This window comes from Homo sapiens, chromosome 6, assembly GCF_000001405.40.
Source record: "Homo sapiens chromosome 6, GRCh38.p14 Primary Assembly".
NCBI lineage: Eukaryota > Metazoa > Chordata > Mammalia > Primates > Hominidae > Homo > Homo sapiens.
Window position 1 is genome coordinate 100844676 of NC_000006.12, and position 16098 is coordinate 100860773.

At 33.8% G+C, this 16098-nt stretch overlaps 1 protein-coding gene across 6 annotated transcripts in view; it reads right to left on the bottom strand.

Moving 5' to 3' along the window:
* ASCC3 (activating signal cointegrator 1 complex subunit 3) overlaps positions 1-16098 on the bottom strand; it is a 373136-nt gene that overhangs the window by 336482 nt on the left and 20556 nt on the right. For 4 of the 6 annotated variants that reach the window (NM_006828.4, XM_011535394.4, XM_047418108.1 and 1 more), the window contains one exon: positions 3473-4032. In NM_006828.4, coding sequence (NP_006819.2) covers positions 3473-4032 — 560 coding nt within the window. Of the gene's footprint in view, positions 1-3472; positions 4033-11627; positions 14528-16098 lie in introns of those variants that run through there. The other 2 variants (XM_047418107.1, NM_022091.5) reach the window with 2 other exon arrangements.

Sequence of the window (16098 nt, forward strand, 5' to 3'; positions counted from 1 at the left end):
TAATGCCTACAGTCTTACCTGGAAAATTACAGAAGCCAAAAGAAGAAATGCTCTTAGAAGAAAGTAACATAGAGGCTCAAGGTAGGGAGGGAAAAGGGGATGATATTGGCAAAAGCTAAGAAGTGGGTTGTTTTATTAGTACAACACGCAGGAGGACACAGATGTACTTTCTATGTAATGAATTCCCTGAGGAATAATTAAAACTCATCTTAAACAGGTCTAAAACAGGAGAACATAGATGTGCTTTCTATGTAATAAATTCCCTGAGGAATTATTAAAATTTATCTTTAACAGGATCTAAAAGTTTCATCCTTTTATTTCAGCCAATTCCTTATTTGAAACTCTAAAAGGAAAAGATCTTGTTTCTAAAGAAATTGTGAATTAAGAGTAGATGTCAATAATTCCCCTACATAAATTTAAGATGCTTAGCTTCAAAACACAGGAATATGTACAAATCTACTTAAACTTCAGTGCGCCTGTGTACTTTGTCAGAATGTCTGAATTTACATCCTGGATCCACTGTCTACTCTGTAACTCCAGACAAATTTCCCAACATCTCTAAACTCAATTTGCTAATCCATAAAATACCTGCCACCAGAGAGCAATAATCTATGGGACGGACAAAGCATTTACTTAAGGTACCAGCAAAGCAGACCAGGAAAGTTAGAAAAACTTCTCAAAACGGAACTTGATGTTTGAAAAAGACATCAACTTTGTCACCACAGTAATAAATGAAATTTTGTTAGATTTTCTTATGTTTGCTTTAGTATGCTATTTTTAAAAAAATTTTAATCACATATGGGAGAGGAGGAGAAATGCCTCAGAGTGTAACCTTTTCAGTTCTTAGGGCTTCTAACATCTTAATCCAGCACTGCCTATCTCAAAGCACTGCTATAAAGATTAAATGAAGTCATGCACATAAAGCACTTAACATAATGCCTTATGTCACATATTAATGTCAGTTATTATTATTACTATTGTCATTAGTCTTATTCCTCTCCACGTTTCAGTCAGAAATCTCTCTTACACAGTCTTTGTGGTAAATGTAATCATATGAATATACTTTTTATTCCCATGTTTCTAACACTAGTTTAACAATAACATAAAGGTCTTTTTAAAAAAGACTTTAATAGCTAGCCCTTAAAAATGGATTTATCATCAATTAGTCATTATGTCAATTAACTATTCAGAGCTGGGAAACCACAGGTTGAGAAGAATTTTTGCCATCAGCATAGAAGTAGCTTTATATGCTTTTCTTAGATTATATGTAAAAATATTCCCATGGTTCTGCTACATTTCTGGAGCAAGAGCACACAGCATGCTACATAAATATTCCTATTTAAATAAAGAGTCAAGTAAAAGCTTAAAAAGAAATAGAAATTAACTGTTATCATATGAACTGATGGCCTTTTTAATTATCCTCTTTCCAGGCTTAAGTATTTAGAAGTAAATAGACAACACATAAGGTATAGCACGCACACCCTAAAGTGAAAACAACACTGGTCAAGAACAACCGCAGTGAAACAACTGTAGGGAAACAATTGTAGAAAACTCCTGAAGTATCACTTGAAAATTATACTGAAAATTTGCCATAACAACAGAATATAACATATAACAGCAAAGAATTGTATCTAAAATATAAAGCATGAATAATCTATACTGCAGAACAAAAATTATGACAATGATTGTCCATTTTCATATACGAACAGGAAAACCAAAACACTGACTACATAAAACTATACAGAACTACCACTCAAGCCACTGACAGGATGTGAAATATCAACTTACATGTTAAACTATCCATTAACCCTGGTTGAAAAAAATCATTGAACCAGACTATGCAGACTTCAGTGTGGCTTGTCATACACCTTAACAAGGCGCTCAGCCCTCACCTCCTTTGGCTCTTACCTATCTGCATACCCTTGTTTCTCAGCACTCCACCTTTGCATCTTGCATGCTTGCTGTACAGAGCTACAGCTCTCTGAAAACAGTGTTCAAGCCTGAAATATGCTCCCTACCTTTCTGGTCCACTTGAAAGAGTTAAATCTAGTCATATTTTAAGAATTGGTTCAAGCTTAACCTTCTCTATGCATACTTTTGCTACCATACTAACACCTCTATAAAATCTATGACTTGTTCTTTTATGCACCCATTTTCTTTGCATGTAGTATTATAATACCTATGATATTTCAGTACAGTTACTTGTTGACATGTCTCCTCCTGCTAGACAATTAATTCTGAGAACAAGTTTGCTATCTTATTCATCCTTTTATGTTCAGTAAATAGCACTGTACCTAGCAATACAATAAGCATACAATAAATATATGACAAATGAAGCTATTATGAAAAAAATCTAGCACAAATACTCCCCTTCCAACAATCAGATTCAGTTACATACTTTAAAATTGTGGTGAAAGACTAAGAAATACAAACTTACTATAGATATTCAGAAGTGAAAGTAATGGTTTTATGGCTTACTAAGAAAATAAAATATCCATTAATTAGATATTTATAAATTTCAGTTTATTATAATCATAATTGGATAACTACTATGTATTCAATTATGATGAGCAAATATTAGTAAAATTTTCTTCGTAAATCACAATTTTTAAAACAATATTATGTTCAGAATGTTAGAGAAAATTTAATAGTGAGAACAGATCTGATAAAAATTAAACCAAGTGTAAAACATTCACAGTAAAAAGACTGATCACAGAATTAATGATATAATATCTTACTTCCAAACTAATGTTAGTTGGCATAACACCTATGGGTTAAGTCCTCCAATACCTACTTAGCTAATTCTCTAAATTAATTTTTCTCTGAAAAATACAGCTAGTATTTTTTCTGTATTTCCAATACTCAATGTGATTTAAAAATTCTTAATTCCAATAATAACGACAAAAATAATCACAGCTACCACATAATGATTATTTAACATGTTACTTACCATTTTGCATATATCACATTCAATCCTTATAACAATTATCTATCTTGATATTGGTGTCTCCTTGAGATAGCCCAACAAGAAAACTGAGCTTCTGAGAGATTAAGTTACCTAAAGTGTCACAACCAGTAAGTGGAAAGGGAAGAACAAACTGATTTCAAAGCCTGTCCTTTCTACAACAGTAGGCCATCCCTCTTAATCTTTCATGAAATATATTACTCATTCAATTTGTCCAGTATTAAAATTAAGTTGACATCAAACCAGCACTGTCCCAGTAACCAGAGCATGTGGACACCCAACTATTGTCTGCTTACTCCTCTGCTACACTCATTACACTTTCAGACCTCCTGTAACTATCCATTAGGAACGTATATACAGGCCTGCTATGTGAAACCATTTGGCTATAGATTCAACTACTATACAGAACATTAAAGAACTTTCTTTGCTAACCACCCATGTTTAAAAAACACTATTTCATTAGGATAGTTCACATTAATATAAAAAAATAAATCATTTCAACTATACCTCATCCTGAAGTTCATCACCACTTTTAATAGAAGCAAGCATATCATATAAAGTACAGCAAAGATCTTCTACTCTTGGCACTTCAGTCATTTCCTTCAAAGTTGAATTTAGGTACTTTTCAACTTCACACCACAAAAAGGAGCCATTTGTTTTTTCCACAGGCTTGAGTTCTGGGGTGCAAGCCTCCTGGAGATGTTCATTCAGAAACTTCTTATAATCTAGGCTTATAGTTTTCTGAGTTTCACCATTTATTGGCAGTTCGTCAAAGTGGTCCAAATCATGCATGTCAAATGAAAATGCTAAATTTTTACCAAAAAAAACCCTATCGCCATGTTCTTTTTCTGTCATCTGCACAAGAGCAGTAAGATCATCTTGACTAAAATGAGAAATAATTCGATTAGTAGCATTACAAGCTGCAGTGGCAGATGATGAAGGAAAGGGGCCAAACATCTGTTTGATAGCCTTTGTTTCCTTGTGACCAACAGAGTCCTTCAAGTGAAATGTCATGAAGAGAAATGCAGCCCCACTTTCAATTGCTTCTCTCCCATTATCAGTTCCAACTATTCAAAGACAAAAGAAACAGTATTAGCTCAATTGAATCATGGTTCAAGTTACGATCTTCCAAAAAATTACCACAAATATTCTCCTGAGTAAATCTAACAGTCAAATCATAGCAATAGACCAGGTGTAATGGCTCCATATAATCCCCACACTCTGGAAGGTCAAGGCAGGAAGATCACTTGAGTCTAGGAGTTCAAGACCAGCCTGGGCAATATGGTGAGAACCATCTCTACAAAAATTTTTAAAAATTAGCCAGGTATGGTGGTGTGCACCTGTAGTCCCAGCTACTCAGGAGGCTGAGGTGGAAGGATTGCTTGAGCCTGGAAGGTTGGGGCTGCAGCGAGCCATGATTGTGTCACTGTACTCAGCCTGGGCAACAGTGTGAGACCTTGTAAAAAAAACAACAAAAACATAACAATAAAGACAGATAGCCAATTTAAGGAGCAGGAACCAACCCATTCCTGAAGAACTATTTATTTCCCAAAGAACTATTTTAGGTAAATAAATCATTATCAGTAATTATTATGTATCTAAGTGCAGAAACTACCTAGTAACAATCCTTACAGCTTCTTTCTAAAAACAACTTGAGACACTAGCTAAAACTCACTTTAAAACTAATTTTAAAGATTGATTTGATGAGCTAGTTAAATAAACCAAAGTAAGGTACAGAAAACAATCTGAATTATAGACTTTTGGAGCTTCAAGGAAACCTCAAATATCTATAATTTTCTTTCCAATTTGTACCATAAACCTGAGATGGCAAGAAATACTTCTATAGTTCTCATTCAAAAACATTTAATACCATCAAGGATATTTATTAAGCTGAAGATAAAGTTAGTCATATTATAAAATAAAAAAGAAAGCTCCTGTTTAAAAGAGGCTAGAAGTAAATATAAGAAGAATCAGCCTCTAATTTATTTAAGGCATTTTCTCATATCCAATTTTCTCAAATAAAAAAAAGAATCTGTATTTCTGACATGGGTTTCAAAGAATATTCTTAGAGAAGAAAAGAAGAATTTAAATCTTCAAAAGGCCCCAAAAGCTATGTGACTTACCTAAATACTGTTAAAGTTAATAATGTAATGAATACTGGTATCTTTCTAAAAAACATGACTCTGCAGTTGCTCCCGCCTGTAATCCCAGCACTTTGGGAGGCCGAGGTGGGTGGATCACCTGAGGTCAGCAGTTCGAGAACAGCCTGGCCAACATGGTGAAATCCCGTCTTTACTAAAAATACAAAAATTAGCTGGGTGTGGTGCCACACACCTGTAATCCCAGCTACTCGAGAGGCTGAGGCAGGAGGACCGCTTGAACCTAGGAGGCGGAGGTTGCAGTGAGCAGAGATAGCATCGCTGTACTCCAGCCTGGGTGACAGAATTGAGACTCTATCAAAAAAAAAAAAAAAAAAAAAAGAAGGAAACATGACTCCAGTATCATTATTCACAAATCTTCCACAGCTTACTATAGCTTGATCCAAGCTCCTACACTGCCAGAAGCTGACCCCAGCATTTTATTTTCCAGTCTTATTGGCTATTATATATTTCCTGCTCCAGCCAAAAAGAATTTCTTCACCAAAAACCACGTTCTACCCCACTCTATGCCTATTTCTATATCATACTGATTCTTCTTCAAGGCCTCTGATTGTTCAAATCCTACCCATGTTTCAGAATATAGCTCAACTACCTCTTTCAAGATGAGTACAACGTTGAGTACATTGTACAAATACAATGGTATTGATGACAATACCACTGTAGTATTCCTCACTGTACTTAGCCCCAAATAGGTAGCTCCACAAAGATTAGTTGATTTAAACTAGACCCAGGCCTCACTGACACCAGATTAGTATTTTTATACTACATCAAACTGCCTGAGTCACTTTTTACTTTATCTGCTATTCAATCATGTGTAGAAGATTAACAGTTTATAGGTAGGAAAATAAGCAATTTTACAATGTATATTTCCAATTTGTTCAAGTATGAAGTCTACTTTTACTGTTATAATTTACACAATTATCTGACATACAATTATTCTTTTAGTATTTAAGAAAATATATGAAAATCTATAAATAGTGCTTTTAAATTAATTCAATAGCATTTATATACATTTATTTATTCATTCTATACATTTTACTTATAACTTGTAAAACAGGATTTGGATAATTTGGGGATTATGGTACTTCTACAGATAATTTAAAGGGGTTGATAGAACTGATACTAAAGTCTGAGCAAAAATGGAATTCACATTTACAAACATTATCTACCATTGTAAATACACATTTTTTGTAAAGATAGTATTGCTAACACTTTGCATCTTGGGATTTTTTTAAAAATAATAATTTACTAAAAACTTTCACATAATTATCTCACTTTGTCCTAACAAAAGTATCTCCATTTTATAGATGTTAAATGGAAACAGAATTTGAGTAATTAGGGAAAGATCAAACAGCTATTACATCATTAAACAAGATTAACATTAGTCTTCTAACTCCTAAACAAGTTATTTCCCCTATGTCACACTGATTCCCTGTAAATTCCTAGACAGTAGACTTATTTCTAATTCTTGTTTACAAAATAAATTTTAAAAATAAATAGGTCACCTTAAGAAATCAAATAGTGGAAGAACAGCCTTATTATCTAATGTAAAAGTGTAATTAACTTAAATATCCATTATTAGGTTACTGGTTGAATTCTGATATAGCCATATACATTCACTAAATATAGTGCAGCAGATTTATATATCTTGCCTTTAAAAAGTCCATTAATAGTGGGTAAAAAAGCTATAAGCCCATGTTTGAAGAGAAAATAATTGTAGACTCACAGAAACATCAACAAAGATCAACTTTTTTGGAGTGTCAAATTTTTAATAACCATTAACTTAAATCTATAATTTCAAAAATCACAAATACTTAAAAAAATTTAAACCTTGCTGGGTTGTGGTGTTTCATAAATGTTAATACTCTACCCTAATTACTAACTCTCCTGCACAACCTATGTGAAATGGACACGTGTTCATACCACAGAACAGTTTTTCAACAGAGAATCTCTATATGCCTTACGGTTCTGGGAGTTCCACCAGCCAACACTATTTGTTAACATGGATGACTACACAACAGAAATAATGACTACGGCATTCTGAAAACAATGAACTTTTTCAGGGCGCTAAAACATCAGATGGTAACTTCCACTTTCACCATCTTCCTGCAACCACCCCGGCTTGTCTTCCCTAAGGGGCAACCACCCCGGCTTGTCTTCCCTAAGAGGCACCGACATGCTTTCCAGCACACTGTCCGCATGAGATGACGTATGTAGGCGTAAGAGACTGGCTGTTAGCACGCTGCCCAGATGAGAGCCCTGATCAGATTGGAGCAGACGAAGGACCCCAGGTGCTGGGGCCGCAAAGGATGCACCACAGCTTGCTGGTACAGCCCACTCAGTGTTTTTTGGGTGACTAAAATGTATGAAAAGTTTGTAAAATGTAGACAAAGTATCTGAAGAAAACGATGCAGTCAGTTGTCTAATTAGCCAAAGCTATCCAAGGCCCAACTTACCCTCAACAAAAATGTAATTGGAAGGGAAACACTAAGCGAACCTCTATTAGCCGGCTGAACCACCACCCAATTGGCCACATCAGAAGGGGGAGATGGAACGGCTTTGGACAACGCGTGTGGTACACTTCTAAAGTAGAAAGGTGTTAGTCATGTTCTTGTTTTCTGACACTAAATCCAAAATTGAACATGTTACATTAACTGTGAGAATCCTGTTCCGAAATAGCCTTTTGTTCACTTCCCTTTATATTCTATATGTAATTTAATAATAAAAACGATTAGGTTTATGATCTTTGGTTAAGTTAACATTTGCACCCAATTCTTAAAGCTTTTTCTGTCTGCTTCATATCACTCACTGTGGTCACCTTTCAAAGAGGAATCAGGATTTTAAGTTTAGATTTGGCCACAGATAAATTGATACACTAATCAACTGACGAAAAGTTTATATAAGACTTGATATAAAACTTAAGAACTCCAAACTTTTAAAGAAGGTACTCTAGAAACCTACATACTTGGGTATCTAACTTTGTATCCATAAAACACTGAATAACATAAGCTGTAAACCGGAAAACTGGCTCTACCCACCTGGCACTTCAACTGTAATATATTTAAAAGGATGCACTTAGAAGGTCCCTACAATACTTTTATTAAGAAGAAATACTCACCCTACTTTGCAGTTATATTGAGAGGAAATGGGATGTGAAATGCATAGTAAACTATAAGGCACTTCCCAGAATTAAAAAAAAAAAAGTCAAAAGTGAAAGAGGCTTGCCAAAAATCACCATTAAGTAGCAGAGCATGATCAGAACTCAACTTGGCTGGCTGACTGGTGCGCTTTTATTATAAATAATTTTCAAACTTAAAAAACCTTATATAGAACCTTACCATATAAAATGATATATTTGGTAGATTGTTACTATAAGATTATAAAATAATTTTTTAAAATCAAAGAGTTAAATGGTTACAATTGTCAATCATCCTCAACACACAATCTACGTCTGTTTTCTTTTGATTCAAAATATTAAGAATTAAGTGGTTGTAAGTTGTCACTTTTTTCTGTAGCCTACTTTAATAGTTGAGGAATCCTGGAAAAAGGATGAGTAGAAAATTTTAATTAAAGATTGAATTAAAATATCAATCACTTGCATCCATAATTGATAAATATTCCTTTTTTTTTTTTTTTTTTTGAGACGGAGTCTTGCTCTGTCACCCAGGTTGGAGTGCAGTTTTGAGACGGAGTCTTGCTCTGTCACCCAGACTGGAGTGCAGTGGCACAATCTGGGCTCCCTGCAACCTTCGCCTCCTGGGCTCAAGTGATTCTCCAGTCTCAGCCTCCTGAGTAGCTGGGAGTACAGGCACACGCCACTATGCCTAGCTAATTTTTAAATTTTTTTGTAGAGTCATTTCACAATGTGGCCCAGGCTGGTCTCAAACTCCTGAGTTCGGGTGATCCACCTATCTTGGCCTCCTAAAGGGCTGGGATTACAGGCGTGAGCCACTGTACCCAGCCAATAAGTATTCAATTTAGAAGTTGTCAACAAATGAGTTCCCTGACCTGTTAAATCCTCAGAGATTAGCTGATTTTTTTGAATCTGGCAAGTATGATGATGTTTTCTTTTACAAATATGTAAAATACAGGACCTTACCTACAACATTAGATACAACAAAGTACATTATTTAACAAAATACAAAAATGATTCAACTTGAATATAAAATATACCATGTCCCCATAATTTTTCCCTCTATATATTCCTGTTCATTTCCCATTAGTGTAATTATTAAACAAGTACAATATCTAAACTAGTCTCATGAATCTTGCTAATATTTTCCTCAATTTTACAGAAAAACTCAGATACAAACAGATTACATAACATACTGATGCTACAAGAACAAGCCAGGTACTTTTTTTTTTTTTTTTGAGGGGGAGAGTATTAAACCATCTTTCAAATGATCACAAAATTATCAAACTTTTGACATAACAGAGGTAGGCATTTTCCATGTGGCTTTTGGGGGAATAAAATGAACAATTTCTGTGATATAATTTTAAAATTGCCTAAGTAATGTAATTTAGTATAATAAGCCTCATGTATTTTAGAGTATAAACTCTTTCCGTGCATGAAAGCACCTTTAGCAATACCTTGCATTAAACAGGGAAAGTATTCAAGAAATGTTCAATATAGTAATTTGAAGGAGTTACTTAAATGTTAAAATTATTACTACATTTACATAAAAACTGTTGCCTTTGGGATGAACAAATAAAGGAAAGCAAACAAAGATATTTGTTAGAAAAAAATAGTAGTAGTACAAAAGATTAAAAATAGTTCAAGGCATTTCCCTATGTTTTAGAAACAGCCATTTAATTTTATGTACATTCGTTACAAAATGTGAATACTCAACTTGCAACTTTAAGGCAGCAACCAGCCACTATATTACCTTTCCAGTAGTATAAAATCCTGCATCAAATTACAATGTAACTTCCCAAGCAACCAAATAGCTAACATAAAAGTTTGAATTAGACTTCATATAAAAGCTTCCTATAATAAAACCATCATTTTGAGCATCACTAAGGAAATTAAAACAAATCATATAGCTCACTGAGATTTAACTTCCATTTTAGATTGTTTTAACATCCAAGGAAAAACAAACAAAAAAGATTATTTTCACTTCAGTGCAACACTTCAGTATTGCATCCATATATCAGATGCTTATTAATATTATACTCGTAATACTATTTAAAAGTATCACTTTTAAAATGCCTCTACTAAGGAATGCAGTTTTAAATTTTCTTATATTTAAGGAATCATAATTTGTTAATGAAAACTAATCTACTAATAAACTAAAGCAAATTGTCAAGAACCTTTTTTTTTTTTTCTTTTTTAGAGACAGGGTCTGACTCTGTCACCCAGTCTGGAGTGCAGTGGCACAATCTTGGCTCACTGCAGCCTCTGCCTCCTGGACTCAAGCCATCCTCCAAACTCAGCCTCCCGAGTAGCTGGGACTACAGACGTGCACTACCATGCCTGGCTAATTGTTTTTGTATTTTTTGTAGAGATGGGGTTTCACCATGTTGTCCAGGCTAGTCTCAAACTCCTGAGCTCAAGCAATCCACCCGCCTTGGCCTCCCAAAATTCTGGGATTACAGGCGTAAGCCACTGTACCCAGCCAGTATCCATTCTGTTTACAATTGTTTAGCTATATTCCCAGGTAATCTGAATTACCTATTTACACAGCTGATACATTTGCAAAGTACTCTTGATTTTTATAAAGTTATCCAGCTTTTTAAAATTTCTCTTGTAAAATGGACATAAATATAACACCTCTGTCTTTGAAACATTCAAAACACAATATAATGCTGTCCAATGTTACCTTCTCTATGAATTCTTTCCTGACTTACCTAAGCAGTTTCCTGCTCTTTGAACCAGTACATCACTGGACACATTACATCTGTCATAACATTTAACCCATAGAAGCAACTATTTGTTTACTAATGGTTATTAGCACATCTAAGTTATAATAAAATTATTAATTGACAGCCACTTATCAGTTTAACCCTAGGCACTTTATACTACTACTTAACATCACAACAACTACAGAGGGTGAGAACTGTTATAACCATATTATAGAAGAGAAAAGAGGTTTAGTGATATTAATTAGCTACCCACTAGTAACTGACAGAACTGAATTTGTACCCACATATATTAACTGATACTTTGAAATTATCCCAAACTATAAAAAAGTTAGGAATCTGAAAAGCAAATAAAGACAGTACAAGAAATATAGTTGCATCAAGTACACAGATATAATGCCTAGATGTGGAGCAGATATCTGGTGAATAAAAGGCAACAAATGTGAAGAAAAGGCCAAATCATTAGCACAGACTTGAGCCCTACCATTATCAAGCTGCTGACCTACATAGGGAACTTGTCAGATGAAACAAATTAACCCACTTGGTGGCTTTATCACAATAGGTTTTGATATTTGAGCTGAATGTATTCCTAATACATATATTTATGGATGTATAAATAGGTAACACAAATATAAAAATAGGCATGAGAATGAAAAACACCAATTTATTATACTTATGATACTGTTTACCAGGACCTGAGCAGGGTACATAGGAGTTCTCACCATGATAGCCAAACCTTAAGCTAAATAAATACACAAGCATGTGTTACTTATCAATCTGAAATACTTCTTATTTAATCTATGTAATATAAAAATCATAGTAATTCTTTTTATTGAATATAACAAGAAAATATACAGTACACATACAGTTCAAAGAATTATCAAAAAACGAACACACCTGTGTAATCTGGTTAACTACTTCAAGAATCAGAACATTATCAGCTCCCCAGAAACCTCCCTCATATTCACTCCTAGTCACTACCTCCTTCCTCAAAAGCAGCCACTATCCTGACTTCTAAAACCAGAGACTGGTCATGCCTAGTTTTCAGTTTCATATTAATGGAATCATAATATGTGTTGTATGGCTTCTTTTGTCAACATTATAAGATTCACTTACAATGTTATACATAGCTGTAATCCGTTACTGCTATAAGGCAGTCTACATACTACAACTTAAGCTTTTTAACAATGAACTGGGTTGTTTCTACATTAAGGCTATCACAAATAATGTTGCAATGAATGCACCTATTTTTGATATACATGTATGTACAAGCATTTTTATTGGATATTTATGTCCTAAGATTTAAAATTTCACTTGTCCAACCACAGTAGGTAATAGTAGACACTGTCAAACAGTTACTCAAAGTGGTTGTACCAATTGTAAACTCTAGCAGCAGTAGACAAAAATTCTAGTTCACATTCTTGATCCTAACAATAGGTATGTCAGTCTTTTACATTTTAACCATTCTAATGGGCATGCAGTGGCATATCCTTGACTACCAATGAAGCTGAAGCCCTTTTCATGTTTACTGGTCAACTATCTCTTGTGAAGTCCTTGTTCAAAGCTCTTACTCATGTTCATATAGGATTATCTGTCCTTTCCTTATTGATTTGTAGGAGCTCGTATTTAACCTGGATAAAAGCTCTCTTTTTGGTTATATATCTTGAAGCTATATTCTCCCACTCCATGTTTTGCCTTTTTACTCTTAATAAATAGAAGGTATTAATTTTACTACAGTCCAACTTAATCATTCCCTTTGTACTTTTTGTTCTCTGTTTGATAAATTTTCGCACATACAAAGATCCTGAAGACACTCTTTTACATCTTTTAGAAGATGTATTGTTTTGTGTATCATGCTTAATTCTGTAGGCTGTTTAAAATTATTTGTAAAATAGGTACTTTTTTTCATCTGTATATGCAGTTGACCCAGCACCATATACTGAAAAAATAGCCTTGTCTCACTATTGTTTGGCCTTCATTATAAATCAAGTATATTTCTATCCGTAGGTTTGTTTCTGGGCTATATTCTGTCATACTAGTCCATTTGCCTATTCTTGGACCAACACCACACTGTATACTTATCTTTATAATAAGTTTTAAGATCTACTAGAGTAAGTTCTCCCTTTTTATTTTTCAAAGTTAACCAGGCTGCTCTTTGCCTTTGAATTTCCATATAACTTTCATATTACCCTTGTCAATTTCCACACACACACATGCACACATACACACACACACACACACACACCCTCAAACATAAGACTGTGCCTGGGATAGCACTGAATCTACAGATCAATTTGGGTAAAAAATATATCATTATAATAGTGAGTCTTCCAATTCTTGGTATATCCCTCTGTTTATTTAGATCTTCTTTAAATTCTCTCAATATTTTAGTTTTCCATGAAGTCTTGCTTATTTTTTGTTAAATTTACTCCTACGTATTTGATGTTTATGATGCTTTTGTAAACGTAAAATAAATTAAAATTTTAAAATTTAAGGTAAAATGTATTACGTTACATAAAGATAAGTGTAATTTTTAATGTGCTTCTAGTAAGTAGAAATAAAATTGATTTTTATATTAACCTTGTTAAATTCATTTTCTACAGGTACAGTCATGTGAAAAATGGAAAAGTTTTTTTTTCCAGTCTTTATGCCCTTACTTTTTCTTGCCATATTATGTTAGCAAGGATTTTTAATACAGTGAGAAACAGAAGTGGTAACAGGCATTTGTGTCTAATTCCGTACCTCAGGGAAGCTTCTAACTTTGTAGCATTAAGTATGTTTTCTCCAAGTTTTTTATAGCTACAGCTTATCAGATTAACAAAATCCCCTTCTATTCCTAGTTTGCTGAGATTTTTTATCATAAGTAATGTTAGATATTCATAAAATGCTTTTTCTCTACTGAATCATGTAATTTTTAAACCTTTATTACTTTACAACAAATCACCCTATCTTCTCATATTTATTAATCCACTCATTATAAACACTTGATCACACACACACATCATGTGTATTTCTTTTGCTGACACATTTGACAGTACATTTTAATCTTCATGAGATACCACTATATATACTGCAGTATGCTTCTCCTGAGATTTAGGATATCCTCTTACATAGCCACAACATTATCACACCTGAGATCTAATATTACCTAATGATGTCCAGCCCATATTCAGATTTCTCCAACGGCCCCAAAAATACGTAATTTTTTTCTGATTCAAGAGTCAATCAAGGATCATACATTACATTTTGATTATTATATGCCTTTAACCTCTTTTAATCTACAATAGTACTCTCATACCTTTTTAAATGACATTATGACATTCTCCATTAAAGCCATCATAGCATATAGATTTCTTTGTACTTAAGGTTTTTAATTACAGATTAAATTCCTTTAATAGTCAAATATTCAGATTTTCTATTTCTTCTTTTGTCCATTTTAGTCATTTTTGTCATCTTAGTCCTCTGAATCTGTCAGAAGCTCTGCTCATCTTCTCATCCTCCTCTTTTCCATCCAGCCTCCTCTTCTGGAATGGACAATTCACTTCTAGGAAAAAGTAGCCCAAATGCCAGGATCACATTTTCTGGGTTAATTTCTGCTTCCACATCTTGGCCCCAAAAATCTTCACTGCTTTGATAACTTCTCTGATATAGTCAAACAAATTTTGTATTTTGCAGTTTTTCTAGGTATTCTCTGTAGAGGGTTGTTCCACATTACCCTGTCTGCCACTTTGTGGGAAGTAAAACTCTTTGAACTCTTTTGCAATCTGCAATTTTCAAAATAACTGTCACAAATACTGCTATATCCCTTTAACAGGCCTTTAGAATTCTAAATATCTACCATTATGTCCACACACAAAATTGCCAGATTCTGCTACTATCTTTTTATACTTCCTATTCCAGTCATTGCTTTATAAATGGCTTTCCACCCTAGATTTTGATTCCTCATTTTTTAACAGCAAAATCTTACTTCCTTGATAACTCACAAACTACAATGGATTTACAAATGCCTTAAACCATACTTTGTAAGCCACTCCTGTCCAACCTACCTTTTGATTCATAGTTTTCTTAAAGATGAAGTTATTAAAGGTAAGATGCATAAAAAAGTCAAAACTCATATAAATCAGGGCTTATAAATTAGAAAAAGCAAAACAAACAGGTCTTTTTATGACAAGTTGAATAGTGAAATAAACTAGTTCATTTCTGGCTGAGTCTTGATTTGCATCCATACTATAGTAAAATCATTAGATCAATGCACTCTGGGACAACTTCAAACATTCTGTTCTAGCTCTTGAAGAGATATTCAGTTTGACAGTTAGAGAGCTGATTAGGGAATGGTAAGGTCTTTCTACCCACTTGTCCACTACTCTTGGCCCCCATCTTAGTTTCTGTCTGCACTGTGCAAATCTTACTGGCCTCATGAAATAATTTAAATTCTTAAGTAACAGATATATGCCTAATACATAATGCATTTTACTGATTACTAGTCTCAGTCTTGACTTCTTTATTTTAAAAAGTTTATACTTAGAGCACATAAAATATACTGACAAAGTTTCATTGCCAACAGAATGTAGACTGTATCCTTCAACAGTCATGAAGGAGACAGCTATGCCTACAATGAGTATTTGAATACACTAAGATTAAGGACCAAGAATACTATTTTTAAATAATTTATATATTTTCTCCATAAAACTAAATTTTATTATTAAAATAATCTTAAGGGAAGAATCAAATTGTAAAAAGGTATGGGAATATACCACATGTAAATTGTGGGGTTGGGGGTGAGAGGAGGAATACTTAAAAATAACAAAAAAGAGAGAAACTGCCACTTGTAAGACATCGTCAGCATTACAGGTAGTGAAGACCACAGAGAACTTTGAGTTGGATTCTCTATACTTCATTTGTTTATTGAACATCTACTGGATCCCTAGCAGCATATTAGGCAATGGAGTAGAAAGATGCTCTGATTCCTGTAATACCTGTTTCATTAAAGCATTCACAGTCTATCAGAGACTTCACTACTGTGAAGGGAGAAGACAGGAAAATAATTATGAAACAAGTACTCTAAATAAGTATGTATAACAGGACACAATGGGGAAAGTTATTTTAACACATAAA